General features: G+C 53.7%; 2 protein-coding genes and 4 non-coding genes across 23 annotated transcripts, besides 8 other annotated features; all 6 read right to left on the bottom strand.

The window, feature by feature from the left end:
- Positions 1,102 to 1,341: an enhancer, noted in NCBI's record as "active region_14945". NCBI's record gives its function as "activates an Ori minimal core promoter by ATAC-STARR-seq in GM12878 lymphoblastoid cells {active_cell/tissue: GM12878}" and the evidence as "EXISTENCE:reporter gene assay evidence [ECO:0000049][PMID:35858748]".
- On the bottom strand, positions 1,409 to 6,109 carry RPL13A (ribosomal protein L13a). Of its 3 annotated transcripts, none has more exons than NR_073024.2 (8): positions 6,073 to 6,109; positions 3,805 to 3,867; positions 3,420 to 3,485; positions 3,141 to 3,242; positions 2,853 to 2,938; positions 2,618 to 2,677; positions 2,170 to 2,292; positions 1,409 to 1,988 (listed from the first exon to the last, which is right to left on the bottom strand). NR_073024.2 is itself a non-coding variant. In NM_012423.4 (8 exons), exons 1-8 carry the CDS (start codon positions 6,085 to 6,087, stop codon positions 1,902 to 1,904), a joined length of 612 nt encoding a protein of 203 aa, NP_036555.1. In that variant the 5' UTR covers positions 6,088 to 6,109; the 3' UTR covers positions 1,409 to 1,901. The 3 variants fall into 3 exon arrangements, 2 of the variants coding, with proteins under 2 accessions (NP_036555.1, NP_001257420.1); NM_012423.4 differs by having other exon boundaries at positions 3,795 to 3,867; NM_001270491.2 differs by lacking the exon at positions 3,420 to 3,485.
- SNORD35A (small nucleolar RNA, C/D box 35A) lies at positions 2,457 to 2,542 on the bottom strand. The gene has a single exon (NR_000018.1). It is a non-coding gene; the product is annotated as a small nucleolar RNA, C/D box 35A (small nucleolar RNA).
- Positions 2,507 to 3,110: an enhancer, noted in NCBI's record as "H3K27ac-H3K4me1 hESC enhancer chr19:49993864-49994467 (GRCh37/hg19 assembly coordinates)". NCBI's record gives its function as "activates a minimal SCP1, AML or CMV promoter by ChIP-STARR-seq in naive and primed H9 embryonic stem cells {active_cell/tissue: H9 hESC(naive and primed)}" and the evidence as "EXISTENCE:reporter gene assay evidence [ECO:0000049][PMID:30033119]".
- On the bottom strand, positions 2,745 to 2,810 carry SNORD34 (small nucleolar RNA, C/D box 34). The gene has a single exon (NR_000019.1). It is a non-coding gene; the product is annotated as a small nucleolar RNA, C/D box 34 (small nucleolar RNA).
- Positions 3,018 to 3,100, bottom strand: SNORD33 (small nucleolar RNA, C/D box 33). Its single transcript, NR_000020.1, has one exon. It is a non-coding gene; the product is annotated as a small nucleolar RNA, C/D box 33 (small nucleolar RNA).
- On the bottom strand, positions 3,670 to 3,751 carry SNORD32A (small nucleolar RNA, C/D box 32A). The gene has a single exon (NR_000021.1). It is a non-coding gene; the product is annotated as a small nucleolar RNA, C/D box 32A (small nucleolar RNA).
- Positions 5,529 to 6,133: an enhancer, noted in NCBI's record as "NANOG-H3K27ac-H3K4me1 hESC enhancer chr19:49990841-49991445 (GRCh37/hg19 assembly coordinates)". NCBI's record gives its function as "activates a minimal SCP1, AML or CMV promoter by ChIP-STARR-seq in naive and primed H9 embryonic stem cells {active_cell/tissue: H9 hESC(naive and primed)}" and the evidence as "EXISTENCE:reporter gene assay evidence [ECO:0000049][PMID:30033119]".
- Positions 5,529 to 6,161: a biological region, named in NCBI's record as "NANOG-H3K27ac-H3K4me1 hESC enhancer GRCh37_chr19:49990841-49991445".
- Positions 6,042 to 6,161: an enhancer, noted in NCBI's record as "active region_14944". NCBI's record gives its function as "activates an Ori minimal core promoter by ATAC-STARR-seq in GM12878 lymphoblastoid cells {active_cell/tissue: GM12878}" and the evidence as "EXISTENCE:reporter gene assay evidence [ECO:0000049][PMID:35858748]".
- Positions 6,222 to 6,721: an enhancer, noted in NCBI's record as "active region_14943". NCBI's record gives its function as "activates an Ori minimal core promoter by ATAC-STARR-seq in GM12878 lymphoblastoid cells {active_cell/tissue: GM12878}" and the evidence as "EXISTENCE:reporter gene assay evidence [ECO:0000049][PMID:35858748]".
- On the bottom strand, positions 7,486 to 19,502 carry FLT3LG (fms related receptor tyrosine kinase 3 ligand). Of its 16 annotated transcripts, none has more exons than NM_001278638.2 (9): positions 19,436 to 19,502; positions 19,045 to 19,114; positions 17,916 to 18,043; positions 17,519 to 17,572; positions 17,151 to 17,294; positions 14,670 to 14,808; positions 13,241 to 13,419; positions 13,097 to 13,165; positions 7,486 to 7,702 (listed from the first exon to the last, which is right to left on the bottom strand). In NM_001278638.2, exons 5-8 carry the CDS (start codon positions 17,244 to 17,246, stop codon positions 13,118 to 13,120), a joined length of 462 nt encoding a protein of 153 aa, NP_001265567.1. In that variant the 5' UTR covers positions 17,247 to 17,294; positions 17,519 to 17,572; positions 17,916 to 18,043; positions 19,045 to 19,114; positions 19,436 to 19,502; the 3' UTR covers positions 7,486 to 7,702; positions 13,097 to 13,117. The 16 variants fall into 16 exon arrangements, with proteins under 16 accessions (NP_001265567.1, NP_001265566.1, NP_001191431.1 ...); NM_001278637.2 differs by having other exon boundaries at positions 17,519 to 17,600; positions 17,916 to 18,026; NM_001204502.2 differs by having other exon boundaries at positions 7,486 to 7,753; positions 17,916 to 18,026.
- Positions 17,546 to 17,725: an enhancer, noted in NCBI's record as "active region_14942". NCBI's record gives its function as "activates an Ori minimal core promoter by ATAC-STARR-seq in GM12878 lymphoblastoid cells {active_cell/tissue: GM12878}" and the evidence as "EXISTENCE:reporter gene assay evidence [ECO:0000049][PMID:35858748]".
- Positions 19,044 to 19,123: a silencer, noted in NCBI's record as "silent region_10917". NCBI's record gives its function as "represses an Ori minimal core promoter by ATAC-STARR-seq in GM12878 lymphoblastoid cells {active_cell/tissue: GM12878}" and the evidence as "EXISTENCE:reporter gene assay evidence [ECO:0000049][PMID:35858748]".
- Positions 19,503 to 20,193: the final 691 nt, after the last annotated feature.

The raw sequence follows: 20,193 nt of genomic DNA, 5'->3' as shown, positions 1-20,193 counted from the left end.
GAGTTTTTTTTGTTTTTTGTTTTTGTTTTTTTTTGAGACGGAGTCTTGCTCTGTCGCCCAGGCTGGAGTGCAGTGGTGCAATCTCGGCTCACTGCAACCTCTGCCTCCCGGGTTCAAGTGATTCTCCTACCTCAGCCTCCCGACTAGCTGGGATTACAGGCGCCCTGCGCCACGTCCAGCTAATTTTCGTATTTTTAGTAGAGGTGGGGTTTCACCATGTTGGCCAGTCTAGTCTCTAACTCCTGACCTCAGTTGATCCACCCGCCTTGGCCTCCCAAAATGCTGGGATTACAGGCGTGAGCCACTGCACTTGGCCAAGAGTTCTTTATGGCAGGATACAAGACCTTCAAAAAGAGATGACTTGTAAATGTTTTCTCCTAGTCTGTGGCTCGTCTTTCCTGATGGTGTCTTCTCAGTCTTAAAAATTTTTATAAAGCCCACATTCCCATTTGCTAATGGATCATGCTTTTGGAGGATAATTGTGCCGTTTCACATGGAATTGGTGAAATTGAAGATTATGCTCTAAGTCTGGTTATTTCTGGAGTCGGCTTCTCTGGTGGATGAGAATCCATGTGGGGACTCTGGCAGGGGTAGGCACCACCCATGTTCACTGATTCTCAGGGAAAACACAAGCCACTGCGGTCTCTTCAGACTCTTCTGGAAAGGTTAATAAGCCCCTGATGGAATGGTGTGGCAAGTTATAATCTGCTATCAACACAATGCACATCACTGTCCACTCATCTTTCTCTGGGGTAAGGTTGTACATGTAAGTATACAGGTAACAAACAGTTACTCCTGAATCTTGGCATCCAACCGCAAGGACAGCATGAATCTAGCTTCCTTTACTTCACAGCATGTTTACTTTTAGTGTTTAGGCTGTTTAGCGTGGAGACCTGGGTATGACGTATTACTGAACACGACTGCTAGACATCAGTAAAATGGGAACGGGGCCTGCTCCAGCAAGCTTTGACCAGGGACATTTTATGAAATTGCTACCTAGTACTAAATGCTCTGTATCAGTGCCCTTTCTGGGATTCAGACTGGCAGATCTAATGGGTTCTCTTAGTGCATAAAGCCTAGCGTTATCTGTTATTCTAGTGCTTATCATTTGCAAAATGCTAGTCTCTACAGACCGCCGGGACTACAGCAGCCTGGCAGCAGGGCATGGGTCCATACTTTGCAGCTGAATTAGAATGAGACAGCTTTACATTAACTAGGAAGCACCAGGCACTGCTGGCCACATTTTATGTCTTTGGTTTGTAAACGGTGTCTATAAAGGATCATTCAATTTATAGCAAGTTACATATATTCTGTATATTAGCACAGCCCATTCTACCCTCTTCAAGCTCCTCACCCCCCATTTGCCAGGGGCCTGCCTCCACAGCAGACACAGTGCAAAGACGCCAGATTTCTTTAAAAGCAATTTATTTCTGATTACAAAATACAGGTGAGGAGCATGGGCGATGCCTGTAACCCCTTGGTTGTGCATCTTCCCAGTCTATTTCTGCTTCTAGAAATACCCTGTGTACAACAGCAAGCTCATGCTGTCCCCAAGTGCTTGCACATTCTAACAGCTGCAGAGTATATGACCAGGTGGAAAGTCCAACAGATGCCCCACTCACAAGATAGGGCCCTCCAATCAGTCTTCTGGCTCCCTTTCACTCATAGTAACTGGTTGCTCTTCCTATTGGTCATAGATAAATGACACCTGCACAATTCTCCGAGTGCTTTCAAGCAACTTCGGGAGGCAGTGACTAAGACCCTTTCCTTGCTCCCAGCTTCCTATGTCCCAGGGCTGCCTGTGGCACCTGGACTGCTGCTGCCCCTGGGTCCCGTACATTCCAGGGCAACAATGGAGGAAGGGCAGGCAACGCATGAGGAATTAACAGTCTTTATTGGGCTCAGACCAGGAGTCCGTGGGTCTTGAGGACCTCTGTGTATTTGTCAATTTTCTTCTCCACGTTCTTCTCGGCCTGTTTCCGTAGCCTCTGCCAAGAATAAGTGCAGGTGGTGGTGGTCAGGAGGGGTTGCATTGCCCTCATTACATGGACTGCATCCCACCCCAACCCCGGCTGGTCCTTTGCCAGTTAAGAGTACTCTGTGAGCAAGGCACCTGCCAGGCCTGTCCAGGAGTGAGATGCCCCCCTCAGCACCAGCCCCTGGCCTCACCATGAGCTGTTTCTTCTTCCGGTAGTGGATCTTGGCTTTCTCTTTCCTCTTCTCCTCCAGGGTGGCTGTCACTGCCTGGTACTTCCAGCCAACCTCGTGAGCCAGGCGCCCCAGATAGGCAAACTGCGGGGGGGGGGGGGGGGGGTGAACAAATGAAGTTGTAAGGATATCTAAGCCCCCACACCCTGAAGAGCCGGAGCTGTTGAGAGCTGGGAGGTGACTGACAGCTGGGCATATCATAATGCAACTGTTCTCTGCAGGCCTGTTAGAAAAGCACCCACCCAAGCCTCCTGGCATCAGCTAAGCCATTGGCATTGTCGCCATTCCCACAGGGACATCCGCAGACCATCGTGAGATAAGGACATCATCTGCCAGGCTCCAGGTCCCCAGGTCCCTCAGCAGGCCTGAAATCTCCCAAGTAGATGGTGCAGCGTAAGCTGGGACTCACCTTTCTTGTAGGCTTCAGACGCACGACCTTGAGGGCAGCAGGAACCACCATCCGCTTTTTCTGTTAGAGAAAGAGAGGGGCTTAAGAGCCCGGGAGGGACAGACAGGGAAGGAGGTCGGCTGGACTGGCGTCTCAGCCAGTGCTGCTTTCATGAGGATCAAACAATGTAGGTAGTTGCGGAACATCATGGACGCCACAGGTAAGGCCGCTGCCTGTGGGGTTTGGCATAGCTCACCTTGTCGTAGGGCGGTGGGATGCCGTCAAACACCTTGAGACGGTCCAGAGCGGCCTGGCCTCGCTTGGTTTTGTGGGGCAGCATACCTGTTGGGTGACAGATAGCAGGCCCAGTCAGAGGGCCTCATAAGGATGCCCACCCACCCCACTGAGGTGGGCCCATGGGGTGGCCTCAGATGGTAGTGCATGTGGAGTCATCTCATGGTCGGGAAACTCGAATGTGAGTGGGAGAAGTTCTCATCACCGGCCGCCTGCCCGTCACCACCTGCAGTCCCCACGCTCTGCTCACCTCGCACGGTCCGCCAGAAGATGCGGCTGGGGGCCCGGAAGTGGTAGGGGCCTCGGGAAGGGTTGGTGTTCATCCGCTTGCGGAGGAAAGCCAGGTACTTCACTAGGGAGAGGGGAGAGTGTGAGGCCTGCCCAGTCTACCAGCACCCCCAAAACCCCACTTCCAAGGGCCTTCTCAGAAACCCCAAGTAGCCTCTCCCAACACGGCTGCAATTGCTTTCAGAGCCTCAACACCCCACAGGGAGACCCTCTCCAGTGCTCCTCCCAGGTCCTAACTTACACTTGTTTCTGTAGAAATTGCCAGAAATGTTGATGCCTTCACAGCGTACGACCACCACCTTCCGGCCTAGAGGGAGGGAAAGGCTTAGCAGGGCCGAGCCGCCTGAGGGTCCCACCACTGCCTATGCAGTCACCCTCCAGACACAGCGCAGTACTTGCCAGAGCTAAGTTCCTGTTTAAATGAAAAACTAGCCTAATACATAATTACTTCTTGAGCCTGGAGTCCCCAACCCTGGGGAAGAGTGGCTGGCAGGTCTCAGAGCGGTGCATGGGGTTGATCTCATGGCCGTGAGACTCAAACGAAAGATGGTGAATGTTGCTCATCACTGACCTCCAGCGGGGGCCCATGACAGAGGGGCCACGAGCAGCGACTTACCCAGCAGTACCTGTTTAGCCACGATGGCCGCCAGGCGGCCCAGGAGATGGCCTCGACCATCAAGCACCAGGACCTGTGGGAGACAAGGGCAAAAGGACTCAGAGACAAGGACAGCCTTTGATTGTCCTCACAAGCAAGCATTCCCTTCTTTTGTCCTACCGTGCCAACAGCGTGCCTTGCACCCAGCCATCAGAGCTGGGAACTATGCACGGAGCCCCGTTCTACAGATGAGGAACAGGGACTGAGAAAGCAAGGCTGCCTCAGGATCAGTGAGTGAGCAGTTTAAGAGGCCCAAACTCCCCTCATATCTGAGTTCTTCTATGAGTATTTTATGCTCAGATTGTATTTTGCAAAGCAATTGGATTTGAACGAAGACCAGCAAGGCTCTGCCCACTGACTACCCAGTTACAAGACCTTGTAACTAATAAACTGTAGGATTTGGTTTTGAGACAGGGTCTCGCTGTTGCACAGGCTGTCCTGTGATCCTGTGACCTCCCAGGATCAAGCTATCCTCCCACCTCAGCCTCATGAGTAGCTGGGACTACAGGCGCGCACCACCACACGCAGCTAATTTTTGTACTTTTTTTTTTGTTGAGTCAGGGTTTTGCCATGTTGCCTAGGCTGCTCTTGTACTCCTCGCTTCAAGTGAACCGTGTGCCTCGGCCTTCCAAAATGCTCGGATTACAGGCTTGAGCCACTGTGGCCAATCAATTGTAGGATGTTAACACAATCTAATTCTCTTCTAATGTATAGGATGTTTCTACCACAAATTTAATTTGGAAGAAAACCGAATTTCAGGTGGGATGAGATTAGGCAGAGTAGTCAAAAGCCCATGCTAGCTCTGCTATAGAGCACTCTGCTTTCCCCGGTAAACTGCTCAGGCACCGAACCTCAGCTTCCTCCGGAGTAGAAATCCTGGCCGGGCACAGGGGCTCACGCCTGTAATCCCAGCACTTTGAGAGGCCTAGGTGGGCAGATCAGTTGAGGTCAGGAGTTCGAGACCATCCTGGCCAATATGGTGAAACCCTGTCTCTACTAAAAACACAAAAATTAGCCAAGCGTCGTGGCAGGCACCTGCAGTCCCAGGTACTCGGGAAGCTGAGGCAGGAGAATCACTTGAACTTGGGAAGCAGAGGTTGCAATGAGCCAAGATCGCACCATTGCACTCCAGCCTGGGTGTCACAGCGAGACTCCGTCTCAGAAAAAACACTAAAAGTAGAAATCCTCATTGTTTTAATGCAAAAGCATGAAGCACACACTGGTTGTTACACATGCTTTGTAAGCGTTGGTACAAAGACTCTAAAATCCAGACAGACTTCCTGAAGTCGTGACCTTGGCCCAAAATCACCAATTCCAATTTAATTTCCTCCTCTGTAAAACAAGGATACCAGTAACTGCCTCAGGAATATGGTTAACTGAACTACGCAAAACATTGCGAACTGTGCTAGGCACAAAGACACATGCTTGGTGAACACAACTTGCCTAGATCGGCCTGGCTCTGAAATGTCACCCGCCCCAACAACAGACTACTCACAAAGAAACCTTTCCAGGGCCAATCCCTCCTTTATACTTAAGTAGCTACACCAGGAGCCAGGGAAAGGGCCCCCAGGTGTCAGGCCCAAAAGATGTCCCATCCTTGTGGAACCATTCATCACAGCTCTCGACTTCCAGTAACACGCCTCAGGACAATCGCCAATCCCCAAAACGACGGAAAACGAGTTCATTCCAGAGTGCCCCGCAGCCAACAGCTCTCGACCCCCCGCAGAAAGGCATTGAGAATTAAAAGAACCGGAGCTGCAGGGGACCCCGATTAACACCTCCACGTGAAATCAAAGTAGCCCGCGCACTGAGCGGGATAAAAATACCTTCCATTTTGGCCAAAACTCAGTTTCTCATTGCCCCGAGACCGCCCGGCCACACTTCCGCGTGTTCCTCATCGCTGAGGACACACAAGGGTCCAATTCGGCCAAGACTCTACCCCAGGGCCCCCACCCACTACCCGAGTTCAAGGTAAGCAAAATCTAGTTGCAAAATACCTGTCCTGTGCTGGAAGCTCTATCACCCTCGCCTCGAGAAGGAAATGCCACATTGTAGCCAACCCTAGGCCTAAAGAGAGCCGCGGCATTTCCTACAGATTCCCCTTATCCCAAAAGACTTCCATTTTGCTTCATTATGGATGTTAAGCTCCGCAAAACATGCAAGACAGAGAGGGTGCGACCCCATTCCGGCCTGGATCCCACCCGGCCCCTTGCCGCCCCGGCCCGCGCGGAGCCCATACCTGCACCTCCGCCATCTTCGGCAGCCGCTTGGAAAAGGAGGAGGTTTTGTCGCAGGGTTTCTTATCCCTTGAAACAGGGGCGGCAGAAGTGACGCAACGCGGTTGCGCGGACGGCTTCCTGTGTTTTCATTGGTCGAAGCGTTCTGCGCGTGCGCAGAGATTCCCCAGGGAAGGCGGGCCCTCTTCCGAATGTCCAATCCGGACATTCTTCCGGTTGGACCTCCGCGGTCAGCGCTGTGCCCGGCGAGAGATCACGTGGGGCGCGGAGGCGGTGCTGCTGGGGCACGGCCGTCCAGCCTCGGCGGCCATATTTTTGAGGGGCTGTTCATCTCGTTCACACGCTCTGTCCGCCATGTTTGTGAGTGGAAGCGCCATTACCCCTTCAAGCGACTGAAGGCTGCAGGGCCTCTGGTGGCCCGCATGGGGAGACCAGACCCGCCAGGCCCGCCTTTCCGCACTCAGTCCGGGCTTACTTTATTTTGTGAGACAGGGTCTCGCTGTGTTGTCCACACCAGAGTGCTGTGGGGCGATCATGGCTCACCGCAGCCTCCACTTCCTGGGCTCAAGGGATCCTCCTGCCTCAGCCTCTCGAGTAACTTGGACTACAGGGGCGCGCCACCATGCCTGGCTAATATATATATATATATATATTTTGTTGTGGCCCGGGAACGGGGGGAGTCTGACATGTTGGCCAGGCTGATCTCGAACTCCTGGGCTCAAGCGATCCTCCCGTTTCGGCCTCCCAAAGTGCTGGGATTACCGGCGTGAGCCCCGGAGCCTTGCCCATTCTAGGCTTAGAGATTTGGATTCCTGTGTCTGGTCGACTTCACTGTGACCTGGAGAAACCCTTGGCCTTATCTGGGCCTCAGTTTATCCATCTGTAAAACAGATGGAGGTGGTCTTCCCCAGGGGCTCTAAGAGTGGATCAAGGAATGGCTTCTAGTTGCCTGGCTGCACCAATCCACTGAGCGTTCCTCAGAGGAACTTCTCACTTTCTGGACTGTCGGCCTTTGCTTCAGCTGGGTCCCTTGCCCAGGATGCCCTCCCCACCCCCTCCAAATCTGGCTTGTCACCATCGCAATGCCATTTGGCTCTGGAAAGCCTCTCTGCTCTCCCTGCCTGGGTGAGTTGCCCCTCACACTGCCTCTGTTTTATCTCCATAGTAGCCTATGGCATCCTGCACCCAGGCTCGCTGAATCCCTTGTCTTCTCGTCCATAGCCAAGGAGACCTGGGGCACCTGGGCTGGTTCTGACTCAAATCCAGGCTCTGACATTGCCCAGCGCCGGCCCGGGGCTCCAGGGGACCTCAGAAAACACGTATTGAATGAAACATTGCATTGCAATTCAAAAACCAAGATTCTGAAATCAAAACTACCCCATTCACACCCATCCATAGACAGACCTGGCCAGAGCTGGTAGAAAAGGATGATTTATATACAATTTCATGGGGACAAGGGCTTTGTACAGAGTTGGGTAAATGGGGCCGGTGCTGGATTCTGGCGTTGCCTCCATTCTGGGGAGGGAATGAGAGGGGCCCAAGGAAGGGACCGGCCTCTAGCCAACTTCCTCTGTGTCCAGGCTATGCATCCTCTGGCTGGTGACTCCCCTCTGTGTGCCTCAGTATCCTCCCCTGTAAAATGGGATGATAGATGTCTGTCTCACTGCGTTGTTTAAGGCTCCGCTGAGAGAGGAGAGGGAAAGTAGCTTAGCTTGGGGCGGGCCACAGATTTATGCCCAAAACAACTCCATTCCCAGCAAGCGCTTACTATGTGCTAGGGCATTGCTGTCCAAGAGAACGTGGCCATGATAGAAATGTTCCCTATATTTCCCCGGGCGCGGTGGCTCATGCCTATAATCCCAGCAGTTTGGGAGGCTGAGGCTGGTGGATCACCTTAGGTTGGGAGTTTGAGACCAGCCTGACCAACAGGGAGAAACCCCATCTCTACTAAAAATACAAAATTAGGGCCAGGCACAGTGGCTCACGCCTGTAATTCCAGCACTTTAGGAGGTCGAGGCGGGCGGATCACCTGAGGTTGGGAGTTTGAGACCAGCCTAGCTAACATGGAGAAACCGTTTCTACTAAAACTACAAAATTAGCTGAGGCAGGAGAATTGCTTGAACCCGGGAGGCGGAGGTTGCAGTGAGTCGAGATTGCACCATTGCACTCCAGCCTTGGCAATAAAAGCAAAAGTCTGTCTCAAAAGAAAAAAACAAAAACAAAAACAAAATTTGCTAGGCATGGTGGTGCATGTCTGTAATCCCAGCTACTTGGGAGGCTGAGGCAGGAGAATCGCTTGAACCTGGGAGGCAGAGGTTGCGGTGAGCCAAGATCGTGCCATTGCACTCCAGCCTGGGCGACAAGAGCGAAACTCCCATCTCAAAAAAAAAAAAAAAAAGAAAAAAAAGAAAAAGAAACGTTCTCTATTTTTGCTCTTTAATACGGGAGTAACAAGCCACATGTGAATACTGAACACTTGAGATGGGGCCGGTGCACTACTCAGGAGGCTGAGGCAGGAGGATCACTTGAGTCCAGGAGTTTGAGGCTGGACTTAAACTTCTTTTGAGACAGTCTTGCTCTGTTTCAGGCTGGAATGCAGTGGCATGATCTCAGCTCACTGCAGCCTCTGCCTCCCGGGTTCAAGCCATTCTTCCTGCCTCAGCCTCCTGAGTTAGCTGGGATTACGGGTGCACGCCACCATGCCCAGCTCATTTTTATATTTTTAGTAGAGACGGGGTTTCACCATGTTGCCCAAGCTGGTCTTGAACTCTTAGGCTCAAGCGATCTGCCAAGGAGTTACAGGTGTGAGCCACCATGCTGGGTGAGATACAATAAAATTAATATCAGGTATTAGTTGGGCAGGGCGGCTCATGGCTGTAATCCTATCACTTTGGGAGGTCAAGGCGGGCAGATCACGAGGTCAGGAGTTCGAGATCAGCCTGGCCAATATGGTGAAACCCCATCTCTACTAAAAATACAAAAATTAGCCAGGTGTGGTGGTGTGTGCCTGTAATCCCAGCTACTCAGGAGGCTGAGGCAGTAGAATCGCTTGAACCCGGGAGGCAGATGTTGCAGTGAGCCGAGATCGTGCCGTTGCACTCCAGCCTGGGCAATAGAGTGAGACTCCGTCTCAAAAACAACAACAACAACAAAAGAAACCCCGTCTCTACTAAAAATACACTAAATTAGTTGGGCGTGGTGGCAGGCGCTTGTAATCCAAGCTACTCCAGAGGCTGAGGCAGGAGAATCGCTTGAACCTGGGAGGTGGAGGTTGCCGTGAGTCAAGATAGCACCACTGCACTCCAGCCTGGCTAACAAGAGCAAAAGTCTGTCTCACAAAAAAAAAAAAAAAAAAAAATTATAATAAAAAATAAATTTAAGACAGGAAACAGATTGGACAGGGACTAGGTTGGGAGGAAAACTGCTCAATGTATTACCTTTTCTTAAAAAAAAAAAAAAAGATAGGCTGGGCGTGGTGGCTCACGCCTATAATCCCAGCACTTTGGGAGGCTGAGGCGGGCAGATCACGAGGTCAAGAGATCGAGACAATCCTGGCAAACATAGTGAAACCCTACCTCTACTAAAAATACAAAAATTAGCTGGGTGTGGTGGCACGCGCCTGTAGTCCAAGCTACTGGGGAGGCTGAGGCAGGAGAATCACTTGAACCCGGGAGGCGGAGGTTGCAGTGAGCCGAGATCGTGCCACTGCACTCCACCCTGGGCGACAGAGCAATTTAGATACTGGTCTTTGATCTTTTTTTTTTTTTTTTTTTTTTTTTTGAGACAGAGTCTCCCTCTATTGCCCAGGCTGGAGTGCACTAATTATTTTTGTTGTTGTTGGATAGATACCGGTCTTAGCAATCATGATGATTCCCAGAGATAGCAACTGGGATTCTAAACTCTTCTGTGTGGTTTTTTTGTTTTTGAGACAGGGTCTTGCTCTCTCACCCAGGCTGGAGTGCAGTGGCACAATCAGGGCTCACTGCAGCCTCGACCTCCTGGGCTCAAGCAATCCTCCTACTTTGCCTCCTAAGTAGCTGGGACTGCAGGCATGTGCCACCACACCCAGCTACTTTTTAAAATTTTTTGTAGAGATGGGGTTTCACCATGTGGCCCAGGCTGGTTTAATGTATGTTTTGAACAACTTGACTATGTGAGTCTACTTTTGGCAACTGTAAATTTCATGAAATTTAAATATAGATGAAGCATTTCTGATAAAAATTTATTGTCTGGGCTGGGCGCGGTGGCTTACACTTGTAATCCAGCACTTTGGGAGGCTGAGGCGGGCGGATCACGAGGTCAGGGGATGGAGATCATCCTGGCCAACATGGTGAAACCCGGTCTCTACTAAAAGTACAAAAATTAGCTGGGTGTGGTGGCGTAATCCCAGGTACTCGGGAGGCTGAGGCAGGAGAATCGCCTGAACCAGGGAGTCCGAGGTTGCAGTGAGCTGAGATCGCGCCACTGCACTCCAGCCTGGGTGACAGAGCGAGAATCCATCTCAAAAGGAAAAATAAATAAATAAATAAACTATACGTTGGATGCTGAAGGCTTAGTATGACAAAAGAATGTAAAATATCCCAAAATGATGAATGATTCCAACTGATTAATGTCTCATTAATCATTGAGAAATACTGATTACATGTTGAAATAACAACATTTTGGATATACTGCATAAAATAAAGTTACCTGCTTCTTTTTCCTTTTTTAAAAACTGTGACCCCGGGCGCGGTGGCTCACGCCTGTAATCCCAGCACTTTGGGAGGCTGAGGCGGGTGGATCATGAGGTCAGGAGTTCGAGACCAGCCTGACCAACATGGTGAAACCTTGTCTCTACTAAAAACACAAAAAATTAGCCGGGCGTGATGGCGCGTGCCTGTAATCCCAGCTACTCGGTAGACTGAAGCAGGAGAATCGCTTGAACCCGGGAGGTGGAGGTTGCAGTGAGCTGAGATCACACCACTGCACTTCAACCTGGCGACAGAGTGAGACTCCATCTCAGGAAAAAAAAAAAAAAAATGTGGCTACCAGGAAAGTGAAAATCGCACAGGTGGCTCACATGCCGTTTCCACTGCGTTGCTCTAAGAGCCTTGCCTGTGTCACTTCACTTCACCCCATAACAACCCTATGGTGGAAGGACTATTATTAGAGCCTTTTGTACAGATCAGGAAACTGAGGCAGCAGAGTGAAGGGCACAGATGCTGGATCAAGACAAACTCGAGGCCGGGCGTGGTGGCTCATGCCTGTAATCCCAGCACTTTGGGAGGCTGAGGCGGGCGGATCAGCTAAGGTCAGGAGTTCGAGACCAGCCTGGCCAACATGGTGAAACCCCGTCTCTACTACAAATACAAAAATTAGCCGAGTGTGGTGGTGGGTACCTGTAATCCCAGCTACTCCAGAGGCTGAGGCAGGAGAATCACTTGAACCTGGGAGGCGGGGGCTGCAGTGAGCCGAGATCATGCCACTGCACTACAGCCTGGGCGACAGAGCAAGACTCCATCTCAAAAAAAAAAAAAAGACAACCTGAAGTCAAATCTTGGTTGTCACCCTTGAGCTGTGTGACTTTTGGCAAATTATTTACCTCTCTATGCCTTGGGATCATAATGGCACGAACTTCTCAAGGAAGTGAGTTCATTTGTGGAAAGCCCAGCATGGGCCAGGAACAGTGGCTCACACCTGTCATCCCAGCACTTTGGGAGGCTGAGGCGGGCGGATCAGCTGAGATCAGGAGTTTGAGACCAGCCTGGCCAACATGGCGAAACCCCATCTCTACTAAAAATACAAAAAATTAGCCAGGCATGGTGGCGGGCGCCTGTAATCCCAGCTACTTGGGAGGCTGAGGCAGGAGAATTGCTTGAACCTGGGAGGTGGAGGTTGCAGTGAGCCAAGATCCCGCCACTGCACTCCAGCCTGGGTGACAGAGTGAGAGTCCATCTCAAAAAAAAATAAAGCAAGCAAGCCAGCCCCACATGAGGCCTGCATTACCAAGGCACTATATGTGCGAGCAATTACTACAAAATGTTAGATTTGAAATGTTAGGGGACCCGCTGGGGCCTCCCCTCCTTCTTCCCTCCTGGCCCACCTGCCTACCTGCCTGCACCCTCCACACCTGTTCCCAGCTCCTTTCCTCCCTCTCACACCTCCCATGGCTCCTTGCTGCCCCACGCTGGCCCAAGTTACTGGAACACCCTGAGCTTTCTCATACCAAAGGGCTTCCAAAGGCAGTTCCCTCTTTCTGGAATGCCATTTCCTTCCTGTCCCAGGAGGCTTGCAAACTCCCACATCCACAGATCTCCCCAGGGCCCCTTGCTCCTTCAGGTCCCCAGTGAGCTCCATGTCTTTCCCTAATCTGACTCCTCCCCCAGGTTCCCCCCTGTCCACCCCATCACTGGACCAGGGCTATCTGTGCCAACTCAAGCCTGTCAGGCCCCAGGCCGGTCCCTCCTGATCTCTGACCCCTGACTCTCTGCCCATCCACTCCACTCCATCCCATGGTCCCAGCCCTGGCTCAGTCATGGTCCTCACCCTGGGCCTTCCCACAGCCTCCGGCTTGGTCTCCAGTCTGTCTCCGTGGCCCCAGAGGGGTCTTTCCTTTTCTTTTTTTTTTTTTTTTTTGAGACGGAGTCTAGCTCTGTCACTCAGGCTGGAGTCCAGTGGCGCAATCTCGGCTCACTGCAACCTCCGCCTCCTGGGTTCAAGCAATTCTCCTTCCTCAGCCTCCTGAGTAGCTGGGATTACAGGCACACACCACTATGCCCAGTTAATTTTTGTATTTTTAGTAGAGACTGGGGTTTGCCATGTTGGCCAGGCTGGTCTTGAACTCCTGACCTCAAGTGATCCACCCGCCTCGGCCTCCCAAAGTGCTGGGATTACAGGCGTGAGCCACCGCGCCTGGCCCCAGAGGGGTCTTTCTGCACCTAGAGCTGCCCCTGCCCCTCCACTGCTCACCACCCTTCCATGGCCTCCTAGTGACCCTCCCAACCTGCAGACACAAAGTCCAGGCCCCATAGCCCAGGAAGGACTCACCAGGATGAGGCCTTGGCCAGGTCAGTGCTCCACAAGCAGCAGGTCCTGGGGACTGGGGACGGGGGGCACCTGTGGGCCCCAAAGTGTCAGCCACAAGTGGGCCACCCTCTCGGCCCCCTCACCCCCTCTTCCCAGCCTGCTCACCTGCTCCCCAGGGCGGGGTGTCCTCCGCCGCGTCCTCTGCCAGTGCAGGCACCAGGCAGCGGCCAGCAGCAGGAGGCCCACGGGCAGCAGCAGTAGGAGGAGCAGAGGGGGCTGCGGGGCTGTCGGGGCTGTGGCCTCCAGGGGCCGGGGACTCCATGGGGGTGGCAGGGTTGAGGAGTCTGGGGAGAAAGAGGAGGCTGGGTGACCAAGGAGAAGGGCTGGGGTAAGGAAGGAAAGAGAGGCCTGGCTGCCACTGGCTGTGTGACCTTGGATGGGCTGCTTGGCCTCTCTGTGCCTCAGTTTGCTCATCTGTAAAACTAGGATAATCATTGTACCTACCTCATCAGACTGTCACAAATTAAATGAGTGAATAGGCTGAGCGCGGTGGCTCACGCCTATAATCCCAGCACTTTGGGAGGCCAAGGTGGGTGGATCACTTGAGGTCAGGAGTTCAAGACCAGCCTGGCCAACATGGTGAAAACCCATCTCTACTAAAAACACAAAAACTAGCCAGGCATGGTATGCGCATCTGTAATCCCAGGTACTCGGAAGGCTGAGGCAGAAGATTCGCTTGAACCCTGGAGATGGAGGTTGCAGTGAGCCAAGATTGCGCCACTGCACTCCAGCCTGGGCGACAGAGCAAGACTCCGACTTAGAAAAAAAAAACAATAGGCTGGGCGCGGTGGCTCACATCTGTAATCCTAGCACTTTGGGAGGCCGAGGCGGGCAGATCACGAGGTCAGGAGATCGAGACCATCCTGGCTGACACGGTGAAACACCGTCTCTACTAAAAATACAAAAAAAAAAATTAGCCGCGTGAGGTGGCAGGCGCCTGTAGTCCCAGCTGCTGGGGAGGCTGAGGCAAGAGAATGGCGTGAACCCAGGAGGCAGAGCTTGCAGTGAGCCGAGATAGCACCCCTGCACTCCAGCCTGGGGGACAGAGCAAGACTCCATCTCAAAAAAAAAAAAAAAAAAAAAGGTAGGCTGGGCACTGTGGCTCACGCCTGTAATCCCAGCACTTTGGGAGGCCAAGGCAGGTGGATCACAAGGTCAGGAGATCGAGACCATCCTGGTTTAACTCGGTAAAACCCCGTCTCTACTAAAAATACAAAAAATTAGCCGGGTGTGGTGGCGGGCGCCTGTGGTCCCAGCTACTTGGGAGGCTGAGGCAGGAGAATGGCATGAACCCGAGAGGCGGAGCTTGCAGTGAGCCAAGATCACGCCACTGCACTCCAGCCTGGGCGACAGTGCGAGACTCCGTCTCAAAAAAAAAAAAAAAAAATTGGTAAACTGAGCTCCAGAAAGAGGAATAAGCTTGCCCTTGTCACAACCAATATGAGAAAGATGGGGTCTGGGATGCACTGTGCAGAGAGGAGGAGCGGCCGTGAGGACAGGAGGGGAAGGAGTGGGGGTGCCTGGAAGCCTTTACCGGGCTGACACTGCAGCTCCAGGCACCGGGAGAAGTTCTGGCGAGTGATCCAGGGCTTCAGCGCCACCAGCTGCTCGGAGGTCTCCTGCAGGAGGCGGGAGATGTTGGTCTGGACGAAGCGAAGACAGCTGGGGGGGGGCTGGGAGCAGGGGAGGGAGACGTCACCACCACGTCATCCCCCCACCGCCCCTCCGCAGGCCAAAGGCCCTTCCCTGCTGGCGATGCCCAGCAACAGGGCCCAGTGAGCTCTGGCTCTCAGAGTTTATTTATTTAATTAATTAATTTTTTTTTGAGATAGAGTCTCACTCTGTTGCCCAGGCTGGAGTGGTGAAATGCAACCTCTGCCTCCCAGGTTCAAGTGATTCTCCTGCCTCAGCCTCCTCAGTGGTTGGGACTATAGGTGCCCACCACCATGCCCAGCTATTTTTTGTATTTGTAGTAGAGACGGGGTTTCTCCATGTTGGCCAGGCTGGTCTCGAACTCCTGACCTCAGGTGATCTGCCCACCTTGGCCTCCCAAAGTGCTGGGATTGTAGGCATGAGCCACCGTGCTTGGCCATATTTATTTATTTATTTATTTTTAAGACAGAGTCTCGCTCTGTTGCCCAGGCTGGAGTACAGTGGCGCAATCTCGGCTCACTGCAAGCTCCGCCTCCTGGTTTCACGCCATTCACCTGCCTCAGCCTCCCAGGTAGTTGGGACTACAGGCGCCTGCCACCACGCCCGGCTAATTGTTTGTATTTTTAGTAGAGATGGGGTTTCATTGTGTTAGCCAGGATGGTCTTGATCTCCTGACCTTGTGATCCGCCCGCCTCGGCCTCCCAAAGTGTGGGATTACAGGCGTGAGCCACCGTGCCCAGCCTATTTATTTATTTATTTATTTATTTATATTTTTTAGTAGAAACGGGGTTTCTCTATGTTGGCCAGGCTGGTCTCGAACTCCTGACCTCAGGTGACTCGCCCGCCTCGGCCTCCCAAAGTTACTTTATTATTTATTTATTTTTTGGGGACAGAGTCTTGCTCTGTCACCCTGGCTGGAGTACAGTGGCACGATCTCGGCTTACTGCAACTTCTACCTCCCGGGTTCAAGGAATTCTGCCTCAGCCTCCTGAGTAGCTGGGACTACAGGCGCGCGCCACCATGCCCAGCTAATTTTTGTATTTTTAGTAGAGACGGGGTTTCACCACATTGGCCAGGGTGGTCTCAAACTCCTGACCTCGTGATCTGCCCGCCTCGGGCTCCCAAAGTGCTGGGATTACAGGCGTGAGCCACTGTACCCAGGCTTTTATTTTATTTTTATTTTTTTGGAGATGGAGTCTTGCTCTGTCGCCCAGGCTGGAGGGCAGTGGTGTGATCTCGGCTCACTGCAACCTCTGCCTCCTGGGTTCAAGCAATTCTCCTGCCTCAGTCTCCCAAGTAGCTGGGACTACAGGTGCCCACCACCATGCCTGGCTAATTTTGTTTTTGTATTTTAGTAGAGATGGTTTTCATCACGTTGCCGAGGCTGGTCTCGAACTCCTGAGCTCAGGCAATCCACCCGCCTCAGCCTCCCAAAGTGCTGGGATTACAGTCGTGAGCCACCATACACGGCCTATTCTATGTTTTGAGACAGGGTCTTGCTCTGTCGCTCAAGCTGGAGTGCAGTGGCCCAATCATAGCTCATCGCAGCCTCGACCTCCAGGGCTCAAGTGATCCTCCCACCTCAGCCTTCTGAGTAGCTGGGACCACAGGTGGGCACCACCATGCCTGGCTAATTTATTTTTATTTTTGTGCAGAGATGAGGTTTCACTGTGTTACCCGGGCTGGTCTTGAACTCCTGGGCTCAAATAATCCTCCCACCTTGGCCTCCGAAAGTGCTGGGATTACAGGTGTGAGCCACTGCACCCAGCCCTCAGAGAGAGGTTTTTGTTTGTTTGTTTTGTTTTTGAGACAGTTTCACTCTGTCTCCCAGGCTGGAGTGCAGTGGCATGATCTCGGCTCACTGCAGCCTCTGGCTCCCGGGTTCAAGCGATTCCTGTGCCTCAGCCTCCTGAGCCACCATGCCCGGCTAATTTTTGTATTTTTAGTACAGCCGGGATTTCATCATGTTGGCCAGGCTGGTCTCAAACTCCTGACCTCAAGTGATCCGCCCACCTCAGCCTCCCAAAGTGCTAGGATTACAGGAGTGAGCCACCACGCCCGGCCTCCTCAGTTTAGAGACCCCTTCTCTCCCTGTTTTTTTTTGGGGGAAGAACCCCTCAGTGGCACCCTTCATCATGGCCTAGGAAACCGGGGCCCCAGAATGGGACCAGACTGCTCCCCATCACCGGTGCCTGGGGACGTGTTGTTCTGTAGGAACAGGGCTCTGCAGGGTGGCGCTTCTCGCTCTACCTTCGTTGGGTGGCTATGGTCCAAATCGCCAATAAGGCCTAGTGGAGCTTTACTTCTAATTCGTAGGAAGGCATCTCCCTCCCCTCACTTGTCCCCTAAGTTGAGGGCTGACCTGAAAGGCACATTTGGTGACAAAGTGTATCTCCGTGTTCACGCGCTCCAGCAAGCCTTGCATCTTGGACCCAGCGACAGTCTTGAGCCGCTCCATCCAGCGCTGTGCCAGGACCAGCCGCCAGAGGCCCCCGCAGAGCTCCTCCTAGAGGGGAGAACCCACGGGTCTGAGGGAGGAGCTGGGCACGGGGCTGCTGGGTCTGAGGGAGGAGGGGCTGGGCCGGGGCTCCTGGGTCTGAGGGAGGAGGGGCTGAGGACTCTGATTCCTGGGTTTGGGGAGGGGAGGGCCTGGTTATCCACTCGCCTCGGTGGAGCATCTTGAGTCTGTGGTCCCCACCTCCATCCCAGGTCCCTCCCAACATGACTTACGTCCTGCAGGTTGGAGGCCACGGTGACTGGGTAATCTTGAAGCAGGTAGTCAGACTGCGGGAGAAAACAGGATCAGGCCTGGCTGAAAACAGCGAGAAACAGAACTGTGGGGACCCAGAGGTGGCAGCAGAGATCCAGAGAGAGAGGGACAAGACCAAGAGAGGGGGAGCCCAGAAGAAGCCACAGAACCTTGCCCTTAAAAAGGGATGACACCCCTAAGCACAGTGGCTCACGCCTGTAATTCCAGCACTTTGGGAGGCCAAGGTGGGAGGATCGCTTGAGCCCAGGAGTTCAAGACCACCCTGGGAAACACAGGGAGAGAGACCCCATCTCTACTTAAAAAAAAAAGTGGGGGGAAGGGGGATCACATGAGGGGGTCCGGGGCAGCGCCGCTCACCAGCTCACGGATTTTGACAGCGAAGTCGGAGGAGATGGGGCTGTGTTGGAAGGAGCAGTCCTGGGTCCCACTGAGTCCCGAGCTCAGCAGCAGCAGCAGGAGGAGATAGGTCTGCAGGGGAGCGGGTGCTGGGGGAGCCCTCTGCTGTTCCACACACAGCCCCCTCCTCCGGGCTTCCCACCTGTACTGTTCTGTCTTCCCCGCTCCTCCTTCCCTGGGTGTCCTTCTGCCTCTTCCACACTTTCTGGAGACATGGCCCCATCTCTGCCTGTCTTTCCCGGTTTCTCTCTGCCTCTGGTCCAATGCTGTCCAGTTTGCATCCCCCTCTGCCCCACCCCTCTCTCTCCCCATCTCCCCCACTCTGCTGGTCTCTCTCCAACCACCTCATCTTCACGTCTGGTTTCCTCGCCCGGGTTCCTCCAGCTCTGTCCCTCCCTCTGCCTTCTACACCACTGTTGCCTGCTTCTCTCTTGATCTTGGTCCACGTCCTCTTCATTTGTTCTTGGCTCTGTCCACCTTCCCTCTCCTCTGTCCATCTCCCCCCTTTTCTGTCCATCTCCCCCTCCTCTGTCCATCTCCCCCCTCCTCTGTCTCTCTTCCTCTCCTCTGTCCGTCTCCCTCCTCCTGTCCACCTCCCCCTCCTCTTCATCTCCCTCTCCTCTGTCCATCTCCCCCTCCTGTCCATCTCCCCTCTCCTCTGTCCATACCCCCTCCTCTCCATCTTCCCTCCTGTCCATCTCCCCCACCTCTGTCCATCTCCCCCTTCTCTGTCCATCTCCCTCCTCCTGTCCACCTCCCTCCTCTTTATCTCCCTCTCCTCTGTTCATCTGCCCTCTCCTCTGTCCATCTCCCCCTCCTCTGTCCATCTCCCCGCTCCTGTCCATCTCCCACTCCTCTCTATCTCCCTCTCCTCTATCTCCCCCTCCTCTGTCCATCTCCCCATCCTCTGTCCATCTCCCCCTCCTCTGTCCGTCTCCTCTCCTATCCATCTCCCCTCACATCTGTCCATCTCCCCTCCTATTTCCTCGTCATCTGTCCATCTGTTCTCCCGTCCATCTCCCCTCATCTCTGCCCCATCCTGACATTGTGCCTCCCCTCTCCCCTGATCTTGTCCCTGGGGTTTACGCACTGTTGGGCTCCAGGCTGGCGCCAGCACTGTCATTTCGGCCGGGGGCCCCTCATGCCTCCTGTCGCCGGGTCTTGGAAGGGACAGAAGAACAAGTCTCGGACCCTCATGCCCCAGCCCCTGCCCTGCCCGCCCCTTTGCCTCCCCGCCCCTCCCGCGTCCCATTGATGTGGCTGAGTTTCCGCCCCTTCCTCCCCCAGGCTTCCTGCGTCTGCCCCAGTTACGGTGAAAACTCTTCATCTCCACTTCTAAGAACCTCGACGTCTGGTCCCCAGAACCCTCCCCAGGTTAGGGACCCGGGAACCCAGCCCCCCACCCTCTGCTCCCCCTGCCCCAGGAGTGGGGACCCTGGCTCCGCCCCTTGGGGACCTAGAGTCCAAGTCTCCTCACGCACCAGGCTTGCCCCAGTTGGGTGTGGAAGGGGCCAAGCCGGGTGACAGCCAGAGACCGAAAGTGAAAGGAAATTTTTGGGGGGAGACAGTCAAGGGGTGGAATCTGGGCCCAGGCGGAGCGCGCCCCCTGGTGGTGAGAGGCGGCCGCTCACGCCGCAGATGGCGCGTTCTCCGGACGCCCCGCAGCGGGGGCTGCAGTGGGGCTGACTCCCTGGGTGGCACGCCCAGTGCATGGTGAGCTGGGGCTGGAACCCGGATCTGTCTCTGGGAACTCGCAGTTGCTGTGTCTTACCGTCCTCCGGGCCCCAACTTTGCCCCGCCAAGGCTTGGCACACAGGACTCAGGATGCATCTTGTCACATTGGGCCTGGCAGGTGTCGCCCTAGCACTAGCTTTATCACTGTGGGAGCTTGGCCAGCCCCTTGACCTCTCTAAGCCTCGGCTTCTCCAACTCCAAACTGAGGGGTGAGGTGGTACATGAGACAAAATAGAAGCTCTCTTCCACATCTGTGGATCTCTGAATCTCTGAAGCATTTTTTTTTTTTAGATGGGGTCTCACTCTGTTGCCCAGGCTGGAGTGCAGTGGCACAGTCTCGGCTCACGGCAACCTCCGCCTCCTGGGCTTAAGCAATTCTTGTGCCTCAGGCTCCCAAGTAGCTGGAATTGCAGGTGCGTGCCACCATGCCCGGCTAATTTTTGTATTTTTAGTAGAGACGAGGTTTCACTATGTTGGCCAGGCTGATCTCGAACTCCTGACCTCA

Source organism: Homo sapiens, chromosome 19 (genome assembly GCF_000001405.40).
Source record: "Homo sapiens chromosome 19, GRCh38.p14 Primary Assembly".
Classification (NCBI taxonomy): domain Eukaryota; kingdom Metazoa; phylum Chordata; class Mammalia; order Primates; family Hominidae; genus Homo; species Homo sapiens.
Note: the sequence above shows the minus strand (reverse complement) of the source record. Positions and strands in the feature narration are given on the sequence as shown.

Bases quoted from the DNA above. Each gene is read 5' to 3' on its own strand.
- RPL13A (NM_012423.4), bottom strand. The intron at 3,243-3,419 runs GTAAGTTAGGAC...CCCTCTCCCTAG, and splicing joins CAATTTCTACAGAAACAAGT to TGAAGTACCTGGCTTTCCTC. The intron at 1,989-2,169 runs GTGAGGCCAGGG...TATTCTTGGCAG, and splicing joins GGAAGAAGAAACAGCTCATG to AGGCTACGGAAACAGGCCGA.
- FLT3LG (XM_011526675.3), bottom strand. From the start codon at position 19,077: ATGACAGTGCTGGCGCCAGCCTGGAGCCCAACA. The intron at 17,295-17,518 runs GTAAGTCATGTT...TCTCCCCTCTAG, and splicing joins TGGCCTCCAACCTGCAGGAC to GAGGAGCTCTGCGGGGGCCT. The intron at 14,809-17,150 runs GTCAGCCCTCAA...CCCTGCTCCCAG, and splicing joins TCACCAAATGTGCCTTTCAG to CCCCCCCCCAGCTGTCTTCG.